This window comes from Homo sapiens, chromosome 4 (genome assembly GCF_000001405.40).
Source record: "Homo sapiens chromosome 4, GRCh38.p14 Primary Assembly".
NCBI lineage: Eukaryota > Metazoa > Chordata > Mammalia > Primates > Hominidae > Homo > Homo sapiens.
The window spans coordinates 122,218,018-122,233,043 of NC_000004.12; the positions used below are offsets into that span (position 1 = coordinate 122,218,018).

A 15,026-nucleotide genomic window follows, 5' to 3' on the forward strand; every position below is an offset into this window, starting at 1 on the left:
CCTTGAATGATCTTTTGTATTTCTGTGGTATCGGTTATAATATCTCCAGTTTTGTTTCTAATTGATCTTATTTGGATCTTCTCTCTTCTCTTCTTGGTTAATCTCATGGATGGTCCATCATTTTTTTTTGTCTTGTCAAAGAACCAGCCTTTTGTTTTATCTCTTCAAGTTTTTAATGTTGATCGAACTCACTTAGACATTTATGTTATTTTTTAAAAATTCAATGTTGGAATTTAAAATATAACCCAGTGTTTTCTGTTATATTTGTGCATAAATTTGTCCATGCTTCAGAATTGTATTATAAAGACAGTTATTAAGATTTCAAGCAGGTTTCAAGTGGCATCTGTAATTAGGAGGTGGACAGCAATAGGGAATAGAGGAAAAAGCACTGGTTTTGTGAGCCGGTAGGTTTGGGATTTAAATATTAATCCCCCTACCAATTAACTGTATGACTTTAAGCCCTTCAACATTATTTCCTATGAAAAGATATTATGTACTGATGTCCATAACTCTAGTCAGAAGATAATTTTGTCAATAACCAAAGTGCAGAATTTACCAAAATACTGTCTTGGTTCTAATATTTAACAGATATGCTGACAATGTTAACAGGAATATTTAACAACTTTTATTTACTACTGAGAGATCAAATGGCCAAAATTTAAATATAGAATCAATGGGAAAAAATAAATTAAATTGAAGCTAAATTTATATTTTCATGCAAAAGAAAACAGTAGTTGAAACACTTCTGCATAAAAAACCAGGATGAACTATGTGAAAGGAATTTTTGTTAATTGTTGGTAACACATGCCTTTATCTCATCAATAACCAAGATTGGATATTTTTATTAAAGCTGTTAAAACATGCCCAATAAATATTCCAACAGGAATATGTGAATTGTACTAGTTACCTAATTGAATTTAGCCAGACTGATTTTCAGTGAATTGCTTCCCCCAAAGGATGTCCTCGGTATTGCCTGAGAACTCTGAGGAGCAGTGATTGAAAACTGTTTAACCATGCAAACCTTCAGAGGTCTCTGAGGACCTAAATTACAAGGTTTTGCTGTAATTGGGGCAATGCCATGAAGTTTTTCTATAAAATAGGCTCTGTAACTTTTTGCATTTTTTGCTACTGAATATTTGCCAAGCAGCTATGTGTAAGTCTTAACATATGTTTTCTTTTGTATTTTAAGACAATAGGCCTGATGCCTTTTTATTAAATATAATAGGTTAAGGAAATGCATAATTTACAAATTTAGGCTCATAGGTGAAAATATATTTACATACCTCTTTTGACAGCAATTTGTGTTTTCTTAATATTTATAGGAAAACTACTTTGGGGAAGATGACATGTATATGGATTTTGAAGAGGTTATCTCAAGTCCTGTTTTGTCACTGTCAACATCATCCAGCTCTGGGTGGACTGCTGTTGGAATGGAAAATGACAAAAAGGAAAATGAAGGTTCAGCCAAGTCAATTCATCCACTTGCCTTGCGTCCTTGGGATATTACTGTACTTGTTAATTTGTACAAAGTTCATGGGCGTCTTCCTGTTGTAAGTGTTTACACATGAAAGTAGTCTGGAATATATTATAACATCCACCTGTGTATAGATGTGAAGCATTCAGCACACACTTAGAAAAAGAAAATCAGATTTAGAAACTTCTAAATTTATTCTTTTACTGTTATAAAACTCATGTATTTTCTTCATAATATGATTACTTGATCATTGGTAATTTTTATTTTCTATTTTTCTTCTAATTTAACTTTAGCTCCTTCTTTGCTATATGTGTAATGTCAGGACATCGTGTCATACATTGAGTTGTTGGGTTTATAATTAACCTGATGGGTGTTCAAGGACTTTACATTTTCTTAGCTTTTATCTCTAGACCCCAGACCAGTTTGGGGCCTTATGGTGGACCTGTTATAAAATGGAGTTTCTGGCTTGACCCTGGGGGTTGAATTATGTAGTTTGGATCTAGCACGGTATCCTGGGTCGCTCTAAGGACAACCTGTGGACCTGTTCTGGCTGACATGGAATGATATTAAATTGCCCCAAGAACCCAGGGACTTTGGTGCAGGGCCAGATGAGGTGTGTGTCCGGGTTGCAGTGGGGTGGTGGGGCCGGTGGCCCTCTGTTGCTTAGTGCAGCTAACGATCCTACTGAGGTACAGAATAGTTATTTTTCTCAGTAATCATAGTTTCTCTGTTTTTGAAAAACAAATTCTCTTAATCATGACAGATGTAATTTTTATTTTCCTATACTTCCTTACTTTTTGCCTTTTCTGCATTTCAACTGTGCTATTTCATTTGACTGTAGCATGGAACTACTGATGGTCCTGAATGCCCTACAGCTTTCTTGGAAAGACTATGTTTTGAAATGAAAAAAGGATTTAGGGAGACCATGCTGCAACTTATCCTGTCACCCCTGAATGTGTTTGTCAGTGATAACTATCAGGTAAGGTGAAAATGAAATATGGTGGAGACATAGAGATTTATTATTAATATTTATTGGGTTAAAACAATGTATTAGCTTCTGTGCATGGACTTTGTAGCTCTTTAAGTTGGAGACTTTTAAGTTAACTGTATTAAGAAGTTTTGTATGTATGTTTATGTGTATGAGAGTTGTTTCAAGAATCTCAATTTTCTTTTGCTGCTCCCTATTTCTGTGATCCCAATTATATTTTATACCTTTTGCTATTATAATAGAAATGGAAATAAGTACTTTCTCAAATATTTATGGAAGGGAAAAATTAACTATATAAAATGTTGGTAGGTTCTGTTGAGTATCACAGCATAAATGTTAATATTAACCAGTACCATAATATTTTAAAACGTGTGTATCTACATGATCAATGATTTATTCTTATTCATCTAACATAAGATACTTTGTTAATTCCTTCAAGATACCTCTGGGCTCTTTTAAAAGAGAACCAATGATATTCATCAAGTGAGAATTTGAAAATGTATTACATTTCTGGGTAGATTATAATTTTATTATTTTTTTCATGCCAAATGGCTTTCTGTGGCAACTACCACCACTTTATATGCCCCTGTCTTACTTTTAATCAAGTTGTGTGATTTAGAAATATAAATGGAACTTAATACAAGACAAAGTAAAATTATAAATGGGAAGGTGAATCTGACAACCAGAAATCATCAATGAATGATCATTTATTATGATTATATGTAGTAATTGATCATTTTATTTAAAATAGCATATCTCCTTTTCATTCTTTTGCCATCACTGACTATATTTTTCTTCATGGAATTTTAATTTAATTTTTCATACATATATTTGACATATATGAGATCATATTAGCTAAAACTTAATATGTGCTAGGCATTGTTTTTGTTTTGCCACAGAATGTGTGTTTCTGGTTTTAAACTTTTATTTTGAAATAATTATAGTTTCACAGGAAGTTGCAAAGATCAGAGCGATCCTGTGTGTACTCTTTACCCAGTTTTTTTCCATGGTTAAGTTATTTTACATAATTATAGTATCAAAACAAGGAAACTGACGTTGATACAATGTGTGTGCGTAGTTCTAGGTCTTCTTATCATGTGTAGATTCATGTAACCACCAAAATGAAGATACAGAACTATTCTGTCATCACAAAGATCTCACATAACACATTATTTTAACTTGCCATATTAACCTTAAAAAAAAAAACCTCTTGTCCTCTCTATAATTAGCAGGTCATTAGAATCGGTTGTTTTTTATTCTGGGAGGCAGGTATGTGGAGAGGAAGCCCATCTCCCTTTTTCAGTCTATTAAGGAAATTAATAAAGGGAAAAGGGAAAGTCTTCTATGGATGAGTTCTGAGAAACTTAGATGACTATCCCTGGTTTTTTATGAGTACCTGGTAGCCCTTCAACTTTTAATCACTGCACTTTTAAAAGGCTTTTCCAGACATAGAAAACATTTTATTGAGCTGATTATGAATGTTCACATTAATTCTTATTATAGAGGTATGCAAACTTGTGGAGAGACTGAATTATAAAGTATGACTTATTTGGGGATTAGAGAAGGAGTTCATGGAGTAGAGATACCAAGGTGAAAGTAGAAGTACTAGTGATAATTCATTTCCCCGATTGTTGACAACTTACCCCGAAGACAAAGGTACCATATATATCCTCTTGGAATTTGCTTGTCTACTTACCTTGTTTACATTCTATAGTGTTGACACGACTATTCCTAAGAATTTTTTTCTTCATCTGTCGTTATACTATCTAATGTTCTTTCACAGTGAGAGGGTTCACACTGTGTCTACTCCCAAGGCTCAAATCTGGGTTACCCACTTGTAGTTTATCCTGGGTAGCATCAGTCTCTTAACTCAAGGCTTCAAGATGAAGGTTCTAAGGTGACTGATGGACTACTGTGTCCCATTATGACACTATGCACTTTTTACTTTGTGGTCATCTTATGTATTAATTTCATAGGGATGCCGTAACAAAGTATCCTATGCTAGGTGACATAAAAGAACAGAAATTTATTCTCTCACAGTTCTGGAGGTTCAAAGTCCTAAATCAAGGTGTTGGCAGGGTCACATTCTGTCTGAGCTGTAGGGGAAGATCCTTCCTTGCCTCTTCTTAGGCTCTGGTGGTTGCTAGCAATCTCTGGTATTCACTCAAATTTCTGCCTCCATCTCGACTGGCTGCCACTCTCTCTCTGTGCCTGCATGTCCCACTTTTTCTCCTCTTATAGGGATACCAGTCATATTGGATTAGGGCCCACCATCAATGTAACCTTATCATAACCTAATTATATCCGCAAAAATCCTGTTTTCAAAAAAGATCATATTCACAGGTTCCAGGGCTTCAGACTTGAACATATATTTTTGAGGGATGCCATTCAACCCACGCATGATGCAAACTGTAATAACATTTAGAATATAATATTTATTGGTGTATCATGTAGGCTATACCTTAGGAAAGCCCAAGATCCACATGTAATTTTGAGATTAAAAAATTTCATAAAAATTTTATACTGAGAATTATTGAGTCTCAGCGTCAGAAGATAACTTTCTTGACCACTCTCCCCAGTTCCCTCAGTAAAAAAGGTAAGGAAATTAATGCCTGGAGAAGTCAGGTGATTTTATATAAAGTCACACAGCTTGGATGAAAATAAAATGAAAATTGGATCAGAAGAGCTTCTAGAGTGATTATTGTAGTCACAATTTGAATTTTTTTAAAAAAAGTTTCTTATGAATTAGAGTTAGCCCTTATCCTTAAAAAAAATTTTTTTAAGACTGTTTCCCAACATATATTGAAAGCAAAGAACACTAACCCTGTGAGATAGCCTAGACATACATGAAGAGGACTACTGTAATAAAACTAGGTTGAGAAATAATTTGCGAACTGCCTCAATGTATACTGGTATGTTGAAGGCTCTGTGAACACTTGCTGTGAAGAAATCTGTCTAATCAGCAGCATCTACTTTTTGTGGTCACTGTTAGGTGCAGTGATACTTAGTACACAAGGCAGAAATGGTTATTAATGAACCTGGGGGAGAAGATAAATATTGAGAACATTAAAATTAAGATAAATAATTTCAAGTGTAAAAAGCGCCACAAGGTGAGGTAGGCAGTGCTCTGGTAGCATTTAATGGTCTGGAGGCAAGAACAGGATCAGATTTGTATGTTTAGAAGATCTCTGTGATTACTCATAGAGTATGGAGCAGAGAGATGTAAAAAGTTAATGCCTTGAAAAGGTCCTGGCAAGAGGTGATACTATTTGGACCAGGATGAGAGCACTGAAGATGAAAAAAAGTCAATGCATTTGTCAGAGACTGGGAGGTAGTTTTAACAGAAATTGGTGACTGATCAGTAGGGCATTCCCAAACTTATTTGATTCTTTATTCTTAATAATGTGTGGAACTAGTGTTCCATGAAATAATCTGTTTTATGACATATCCTTTATTTCTCTGAATACGTTAGAAATGTTCCCTTTGAAATACGTGCTGCTTTTTAGTAGTGAGTATGAAATTATTCTCTGTAAGAAAACTCTCCTTGTATTTACATAGTCCTCAGAATCTATATGGAAGTTTACTTTTCCCCACCATTCTTCATTGTTTGGTCTTAATGGTCTGAGTTCTTCAATGTTGTCTTCCTTTTAAAAATATTTTAATCTCATGATTCTTAGATTTCTTACAAAAGACTGGTCTCTTGTATTCCCTGTCAAAGTACTACTGTAGTTTCTTGTTATTCATAAAGGCAGTTACCAATCAGAGATCTGTCTACTATTTAAGACTCAGCTATCTTGCTTTTTATAATAGTTGGACTCTCATAGGTATTGTTCATTAAAGATGCTTAACTCAGAATACCTCTGCGGGTACAAGGTTGTGTTAGGAGCTTGTGGATTCTGAAACCTTATAGATGGCATGAGTTTATTGTTCATCTCTGCAGGGGGTGTGGGGGGAAACAACTAGAAATTATAATGTGATTTTCTTATACATTTTACAGTCTCATCATTATTGTTTTCAGCAGCGACCCCCTGTGGATGAAGTACTCAGGGAAGGTCACATCAATTTGTCAGGTCTCCAGCTGAGAGCACACGCTATGTTCTCAGCAGAAGGTCTTCCTTTGGGAAGCGATTCCTTAGAATACGCATGGTTAATTGATGTGCAGGCTGGAAGTCTTACAGCTAAGGTCACAGCACCACAGGTATGGTTTTCAGAGTACTATCTCCTGACTTATTTTCTTTTTCCTTTCTCTACCCACCTTCTCAAGAATAACTTGTATGCCTGTTTGAATGTTCATTGCATTTCCACTGATGGCATTCTGATGGGAGTCATTCTTGCCATTCAGAATTTTAGTTATAGGTGAATCAGAGACAAGTTTGACTTTTCTGAGCCACATATAATTTGTTGGGTGTAATGTGTGTAGACCTATATAATATTTCAAAGAATTTGAGACTTTCTTTGGGAAAAATTCAGGATGAGTACTTTTCTAGAAGTCATTAATATATTATTAAAATTATATTACTTGGCCCTCCATTGTTGGAAAAATCTTATTTTTCTACTATATGGAGTAATTTTCTAAGAACTTTGTTTTCTTACATATGTTTAAAGTAGGATTTGAAAGTAGCCCTTATGATACTAAGGATTAGGTAATAAGGTTCTTTGCTTGTCATGTCCCAAAGCAAGATTACATCATTTGTACCTGCTGTTAGTGATGTGGATAATAGTTTCAAAAAACAAAAGTGAATTTACTGGTATGTAAGTCTGGTCTAGAATTCTAGATGTGATCCTTTTGGATAAATTGTCCCCCACCACCCCTTTCACTTAATCCTTAGAAGGCACAAAAGCCTTAATGTATTATTTGTTTCTAATTGGCCACTGAAGTTTAGTTGAATTGCCGTATTATTGTAACATTTCACCTGAGTCATATATTTATTATAATATGAATGCTCATCTTGATATTTCAAAAGACTGGAATTTGATAGGAATGTTACATACTCAATTTTGATAAAAAGTTTTAGAATGGGTATAAAACATATAATTTAGAGGTAGGTAGTAGCAACAAGAAAGTAATAAAGAACCTAGATGCCCTTTATACCTGGAAGAAATCGTCAGAGGGTAGCAAAAATTAATATTCTAGAAATGGTGAGAAAATGAATAGAATTGAAAAGGGATATTTTGGAGTTGAACGTCATCTCAATATAATATTAGAATGTATAATGATATTTATAAAAATATGTGAAAAGAAATGCATAATGGAATGTATAAAAATGGATGAAAAGCAATAGTCATTGCTCACTGGTCTTGTAACTGTCCTCTCCTTATTATCTCCCATTTCCCATCCCTAAGTATACTAGTAAAAACTGAAGCATATTCCAAAGCAGCTTGTTCCCTACGAAGGGAATAAAGCCATGCTGATCCTGCAAGACTGGGTACAATTCCTTTATTCCAAGGCCTGCTAGAATCTTACATGTTTATAAATTGCCTTTATAAGGTAAAACATTTCTCTTTCTCCTGCATAAAATCTTGGCATCACTGTTTGCTGCACAGTTCATGACTCTGTAGGCACTTTTATGTTTATTCCATTCTCTGTATGTTTTAAAAGTAAAATTTATATTTTCCAAGAGTTTAAATTATGTACTTATTTGAGGGGATAATGTCATGTGTATCTATCCCTCAATGTTTTTAACAGCTCTAATCAATTAGGGTGTTTTTTTTTTTTAAACTGAAGATTTGAAGAATTATGATATATACTTACTTAAGCTTCTATTTACATAAACAAAAGTGCTTTAATCTTCAAAATACCTGGTTTTAAAAAAACTGTAGCTCAATGTGATATTTAGATACTTTTTCACATAAAAGTTTGGTTTATGATTGGAGAATTTTAGGTGCTTTTCTATGTGGAGATTTCAGTTAGCTATATAAGAGGGAAGATATATAACCTTGAATAAAAGGATTTGCGTTAAAAGTTGCTGAAGTGAAATTTTTCAGTTGCAATTAGTTTTCATTTTGACAGTGCATTTTGTCATTCATAAAGGAAAAGTAACATAAGCATGTAAATGATATTAAAGGTAGAAAAAAATCATTGGCTAACAAGTTGCTTATTTAGCAGAAGTTTTAAGACAGTGTTTGGGTTCTTTCAAGCTACGTTAACATTCTTCAGAAGCTTTTGAACTCTAAACCCTTGTTTAGAATGCTAACAGTGTTGTCAACTTGTCACTGATTATCTGTAGCTGGCATGCCTCTTGGAGTGGGGACAGACATTTGTTTTTCATGTGGTATGTCGGGAGTATGAACTGGAAAGACCGAAATCAGTTATAATATGTCAGCATGGAATTGATCGTCGGTTCTGTGAATCCAAGGTATATTAACAAATATGTTAGCAATATTATAAACATTTATGAATTTTAAAAAATGGAATATTGAGATATCAGCTTCAAGTCAAATACACATAGCCATGCAGCAAACTACAGTTTTTTCAGTTAATAAAATTATTTTTTAAATTCTTACCCATTTTAGTTTTAAGTATCTAAAATATGAGATAATTATTAAAACATACAAATTAAAAAAGAAACAGAATTATAAAAATTATATTTTGCTTACATTTTTACTGTTAACATTCATGTCATATTGCATTATTATACTTGTTGGGATATGGCTATATATTTATGTAGAAGATTTAGAAATTGAAGCAAAGAGAAGGTTGAATTCTTCACATGACATGGTTTGCAGACCACTCTGGACATGCCGTTTCTCCCATAATGTAATAGCAAGGTTGGTCATTTGCCAGGTTTCCTGACTCCACATGTTATGCTCTTTTCACAACATTGTGCCACCTTCATTAAGAGTCATTACAATATCTTCACAAGGGTTGCAAAAAGTAGATGGTAATCCCTAAAACCATGTGCAGTGGCAATGAAATGCCATAGTATTATTGTGCAATAAATACTCTCCCTTATGAATTTGGGGAGGGAGGCATTTTCTTCCCCTGATTTTGGAAGCATGGTTATTTCAGAAAATCTGGAAAACATGGCTGTTTCAAAAGAGAAAAATAACTTACCCTGGTTCTACAACACAGTGGTTAACAACTTAGTTTTTCTTTCTAGTTCGTTCCTATATGTCTTTCCTTTTTTGTTCTTCTGCTATACAAATTATATTTGTTTGCTGTTATATTACTGTGAATTGAAATTAGTTCATCCTACTTTTATGTCCAAAAAAAATCTGTAACGCATCCTTATATATTGACAATAAAGGAAACAGCTATACTTGGTGATAAAAATTTTTTTTCTTATTATAAACACATTTCCAGGCTCCACAGAATTGGTTCCTTAGTCACAGGTCAGGGAGGCAGTTTTTTATGGATAATACGCACATACCTTTAGGTGCCTCCCCCTCCTTTTTCTTTTTTTTTTTTTAACTTGAAGTTTTTATGTTGCATTAAAATTTTTTTTTTTTTTTGAGACAGAGTCTTGCTCTGTCGCCCAGGCTGGAGTGCAGTGGCGCCATCTCGACTCACTGCAAACTCCGCCTCCTGGGTTCATGCCACTCTCTTGCCTCAGCCTCCCGAGTAGCTGGGACTACAGGCGCCCACCACCACGCCCGGCTAATTTTTTGTGTTTTTAGTAGAGATAGGGTTTCACTGTGTTAGCCAGGATGGTCTTGATCTCCTGACCTCGTGATCCGCCTGCCTTTGCCTCCCAAAGTGCTGGGATTACAGGCGTGAGCCACTGTGCCCGGCTCTTAAATTTTTAAAAATAAGTTTCATTGAGGCATAATTTACATAATTTACAGTAAATTCATCCTTTTAAAGTTGTACAGTTTGAGTTTTGACAAATGCTGTATATACCTGTGTAACTATTACCACCAGTGAAGATATAGAACATTTCTATCACCTTAGAAAATTCCTTTGTGTGTCTTTGCAGTCAGCCCCTACCTCAGGCAACTACTGATCTCCATTCTGTCACTTCAGTTTGTTTAGGTCTATTTTTGTCCAGAGGAAATATATCCTTATAGAGTATTGACTACACTGTAAGACACCTGTTTCTAGTTCTGGCTCTGCCACTAATGAGCATTTTCATGCTATTGGGCCAATAATTTAATCAGGGCTGCCATCTCCTCAAGAAATTTATTGATATAGGTGATATATACATTTTCTTCTAACCTAAACATCATAAAAATCTGTGTTTTAGGAGTAAAATAAAATTAATGTGGATTGTCTTAGTGAATTTGTGTGTGTGTGTGTGTGAAAATACATCTGTGCGTATGGAGTACCTGTAAGAAAACCTTACAACTCTAAACTCATACAATTCTTGTAAACCTGTGGCACTGTTTTACTTTTCACTTTACTTTGCTTATCCTCTCTAGTTTCAGTAAGAAATTGTCTATGTATTGTCCATTAGACTTGCTATTTGCCCCTTCTGAATGAAAATGGTGCATGCTTACTTATTGTTTTCTAACGTATAGTTTTCTAATTGATAACACTTTAACTGCTGATTTCATTTATTATTATAAAAGAATGAAATTAGACTGATTTTTAAAAAATACATCAATAACTAGATTTTTTGTGTTTATTTAAAGAAGATGACTTAAGTATCAAAATAATAAGTTGATGGTGATGATTTAGATGTACAATCCTTTTTTATTTTAGTTGAGTTGTATTCCTGGGCCTTGTCCAACTTCAGATGATTTGAAATATACTATGATTCGTTTAGCAGTAGATGGAGCCGATATTTACATTGTTGAGCATGGTTGTGCTACAAATATAAAGGTAAGTGTTTTGCTTGGCTGGTGTAGTGCTTTTTCGTTTTTACTAAACCAAACCTCTATTTCTTGAAATAAAACACACATTTATAGTTTGTCATCTCACAGACAGCCACAAAATTTTAGGAGAAAACTTTCTAATTTTTACTAATCCATGTTCTCTTCCAGTATTATTTTTTTCAAGGCATACTTTCACCAGTTATTTACTCTGAGTTATTGTAACATTGCTTTATGGGAAGGATATAAAATAGTAGGTTACTTTTATGTCAGGGATATAAACTGGCAGTGCTTTTAAATGATTTGATTTTTGAATGTCTTTAGGATTCATACATTTATATTTTCTGCCTGGCTCTTGAAAACATTTGTTTCCCACTCTTTTATGGATTGTAGTGCAAAATCAAGCCTTGTTAAGTTTCTACTATTTCATTATTTACTTCTCTTGTTCGCCTGTGGATTTCTGCTTTTTTCCTTTTCTCCTTTTTAAAAAATTGTCTATTTTTGTTTTTATTTTGTTTAACTTTTCTGTTCCCTTCTTGTCCCTTTCCCATTTTTTCCTTTTTTATTTCTTTTTCCTTTATTTTCTCCTTCCATTTATGTTTTACTCTATTTGAAATGATCACCTATTCAGTAGTTTTGGCTAAGCTACTTAAAAATACAGAAATTACACTTTTGTTTCATTTTCTTCATTCAATTTTAGATGGGTGCAATTCGAGTTGCAAACTGTAATCTCCACAATCAATCGGTTGGGGAAGGAATCAGTGCTGCAATTCAGGATTTTCAAGTGAGACAGTACATTGAGCAATTAAATAATTGCAGAATTGGACTTCAGCCTGCAGTGCTACGGAGGGCCTATTGGCTTGAAGCTGGGTCAGCCAATTTAGGACTTATTACTGTTGATATTGCTTTAGCTGCTGACCATCATTCTAAACATGAGGCACAAAGACATTTCTTAGAAACTCATGATGCCAGAACTAAGAGGTAGGTGAAAATGTTAAGAATGGCAGTAGTCTCCTGTTCAGATGAAAAAAACTAGATAATTGTAGAGGAAATTCTACTGAGAGAATGGACTAAGAATATTTTAAATAAAGACCTAACATGATTGTGCTGCTGCACCTCAATGAATATATAAGGACCTGATATTTAAGTAAATATATATCTTGTCTCTGGTGATGGTGTAGTTGTTGGAAATAACATTATTTTCTGATGTGTTTCTAAGTCTATACCATGTATGCCAACAGTGAAACAAGTTTAAGTTATGGTCCCCAAATAACGTTTTGTAAAGTACTACATTTTCTCTCTCACCACAGCTCTCCACTTTCAAGTCATCATTCATTCCTAGAAATCACAGTACTACTATCGTCTACTGTATAAAACTCCTTTTATGGGCCTTCAGAACTGCAAGGAAGACTAAGAGTACTCAGGCCTATTTCCTTGGTCCTTAGGAAATTATTATTATATATGATTTAAAAAGTTGCCAGCACCTCTTACTGAATCACTTCCATTTAAAATGACAGTGTGACTTTTTCCATCCCCATCTTCCCCATTGTATATTTAATATGTGCTAATTCTAGAAATATAGGAAACTATTAAGAAACAAAAGAAAATAATGATCATAACCCCACCATATGAAATTTTATCTCCAGGATTTTGCTGTATTTTTTTAATGCTTGAAATCATCCTGTATATACAGTTTAAAATTCTGCATGTTTGTATTAAACTTATATCCCAAGCATCTGGCCACATGATTAAACATTTTATAAAGATCCTTTTAAACAAATGATAATACATTACCAAAAAGACAAAACATGTTTTATTTAGCCATTGCCCTTATATTAAATATTTAGATTGTTTCTAAATTTCCCATTATAAATGATAGAGGAACATTTTTGCACATAAAATATTTTCCCATGCTTTCTGGCTGTTTCCTTTAGATAATTTCCTGGAAGGGAGTATGAATGAGTTGAAAATTAAGACTTTTCATATGCATTCCCAAATTACTTGCCAGAAATTAATTTCAGTTTATATCCACAATGGCTTTTTAGCTAGTCCCTGTCACCCTGCACCATTGCTACCTTTTGAGTGTTTTCTGATAAGTGAAAGGTGGCATCTCTTTATTTTGCATTTATATATTTCTGAAATTAACACTTTAAAAACCACATTTGTTAGCTGTTTCGATTTCTTCACTTGTGAATTGAATGTTTATATTCTGTGTACATTTATTTACTGGGGTCTTGGTGGTTTTCAATTTTTAAGAGCTCTTTATAGATGATCACCTTTTTGTGATCTCTGTTGCTAGTATTTTACAGTTTGTTTTATCTTTTAATTTTGTTTTTATTTTCATATATGACTTTAATTTTATGCATTCAAGTATGTCAGTTACTAATTTGAGAAAGCCATTCTTTTGCTAGTAATCAAATAGCATCTGTATTATTTTTTTCTTTTCCTTTTTCTTGTTAACATATAAAACTCGAATCCCTCTGGATTTTATATGGGGTGCATGTGTATATTATTCTAGGTAAGGAGATAAATCGACATATTCATTTCTCTGTTTAACAAAATGTTTATTGTTACCTGTTAACTTTCCCAAAAGAACCTGGGGTCCATTTTTCTGGTTAAAAAAAGAAAATCTGTTGAGATTTTTATTGAAATTACATTAATCTTTTAAATTAATTGAGGAAGATTTGACATATATCCGAGTATGAAAGCTCATGTATGAAGAATATTGTGTAAAATAAATTGGATTTCTTTGTTATATGTTGTGCAGGAAGCCACTTAGTGTGAACCAAATGCCTGTCTTTGATTAGGTTAGGTGGTAGAGCAAGGTGCGAATGGAACTAAGGAGGTTACTTCAGGTGACTCGAGTTGCTCCAAGTAGCTCATTTAGGTTGGTTTCAGTGCTGTAGCTTGTGAAAAATTGTGAAGAGTCTGGGGTTTTTATCTTTCTTACGAGTTAACAAGTTAGCTGTTACAATTTCATGGATGCTGGAAAAATACACAAAACTTCTGATCAGAGACTATATTACAGCCAAAGCGGTAGCCAGTCATGTGTGGGCGGGTTGGTTCCCTGTATCCCCCAAGTAGAGTTGCCAGGGAAAATACAGGATGCCCAGTTAAATTTAACTTTCAGATAAACAACAAAACACATTTTAGTATAAGTTTGTCCCACATATTGCATAGAACAAACTTATTTTTGTTTGTATTTTATTCGCTAAATCTAGCAACTCTGTCCCTGAGTCCTATAGGGGATAACGTAGTCCCAGCTACTTGGGAGGCTGAGGCGGGAGAATCGCTGGAACCTGGGAGGCGGAGGTTGCAGTGAGCCAAGATTGCGCCACTGCACTCCAGCCTGGGCAACAGAGTGAGACTCTGTCTCAAAAAAAATAAGATAAAAAACATAAAGCCCCATCATGATGAATATGTGCATAAAGTAGATTACGTTATAGAAGAGGAACACTGAACTTAGGGTATCTTACTATTTTTATAGTAAGTGGAAGCAAGCCTACTCTTTTCCAGAGAGAAAGATTACCTCAACCCTCAAGGTTGCTTGCTCCCAACACAACCCTGTGAAATAGCCTGGACAGAGCTTGCATTCATGTCATACCCAGCAGGAACATACAGGGATTCCTAGGACTCGTGACGATTTGCCTCTCCCCACATGGTAACTCACTGACCTTCAGGTTTGGCTGCCTTTGTGCATATTGGATTCCCAGGAGTTTTAGAGAAATGTATATTCATTTCTGATATTACTGGAAGAGCTACTGAATACATAGGCCATTAGTTCCATTAGATTAATGTTTTTTAAAAATATGG

The 15,026-nt window shown here is 34.2% G+C and overlaps 1 protein-coding gene across 44 annotated transcripts in view; it reads left to right on the forward strand.

Moving 5' to 3' along the window:
• The window catches only part of BLTP1 (bridge-like lipid transfer protein family member 1), a 210,422-nt gene that overhangs the window by 65,687 nt on the left and 129,709 nt on the right, over positions 1-15,026 (forward strand). For 29 of the 44 annotated variants that reach the window (XR_938783.2, XM_047416253.1, XM_047416252.1 and 26 more), the window contains 6 exons: positions 1,323-1,550; positions 2,316-2,453; positions 6,481-6,660; positions 8,690-8,818; positions 11,104-11,223; positions 11,914-12,194. Coding sequence is in view for 43 of the 44 variants with exons in the window: in XM_047416253.1 (XP_047272209.1) it covers positions 1,323-1,550; positions 2,316-2,453; positions 6,481-6,660; positions 8,690-8,818; positions 11,104-11,223; positions 11,914-12,194 (1,076 nt within the window). In the remaining variant the exon portion in view is untranslated. Of the gene's footprint in view, positions 1-1,322; positions 1,551-2,315; positions 2,454-6,480; positions 6,661-6,825; positions 7,951-8,689; positions 8,819-11,103; positions 11,224-11,913; positions 12,195-15,026 lie in introns of those variants that run through there. The other 15 variants (XM_047416258.1, XM_047416255.1, XM_047416256.1 and 12 more) reach the window with 4 other exon arrangements.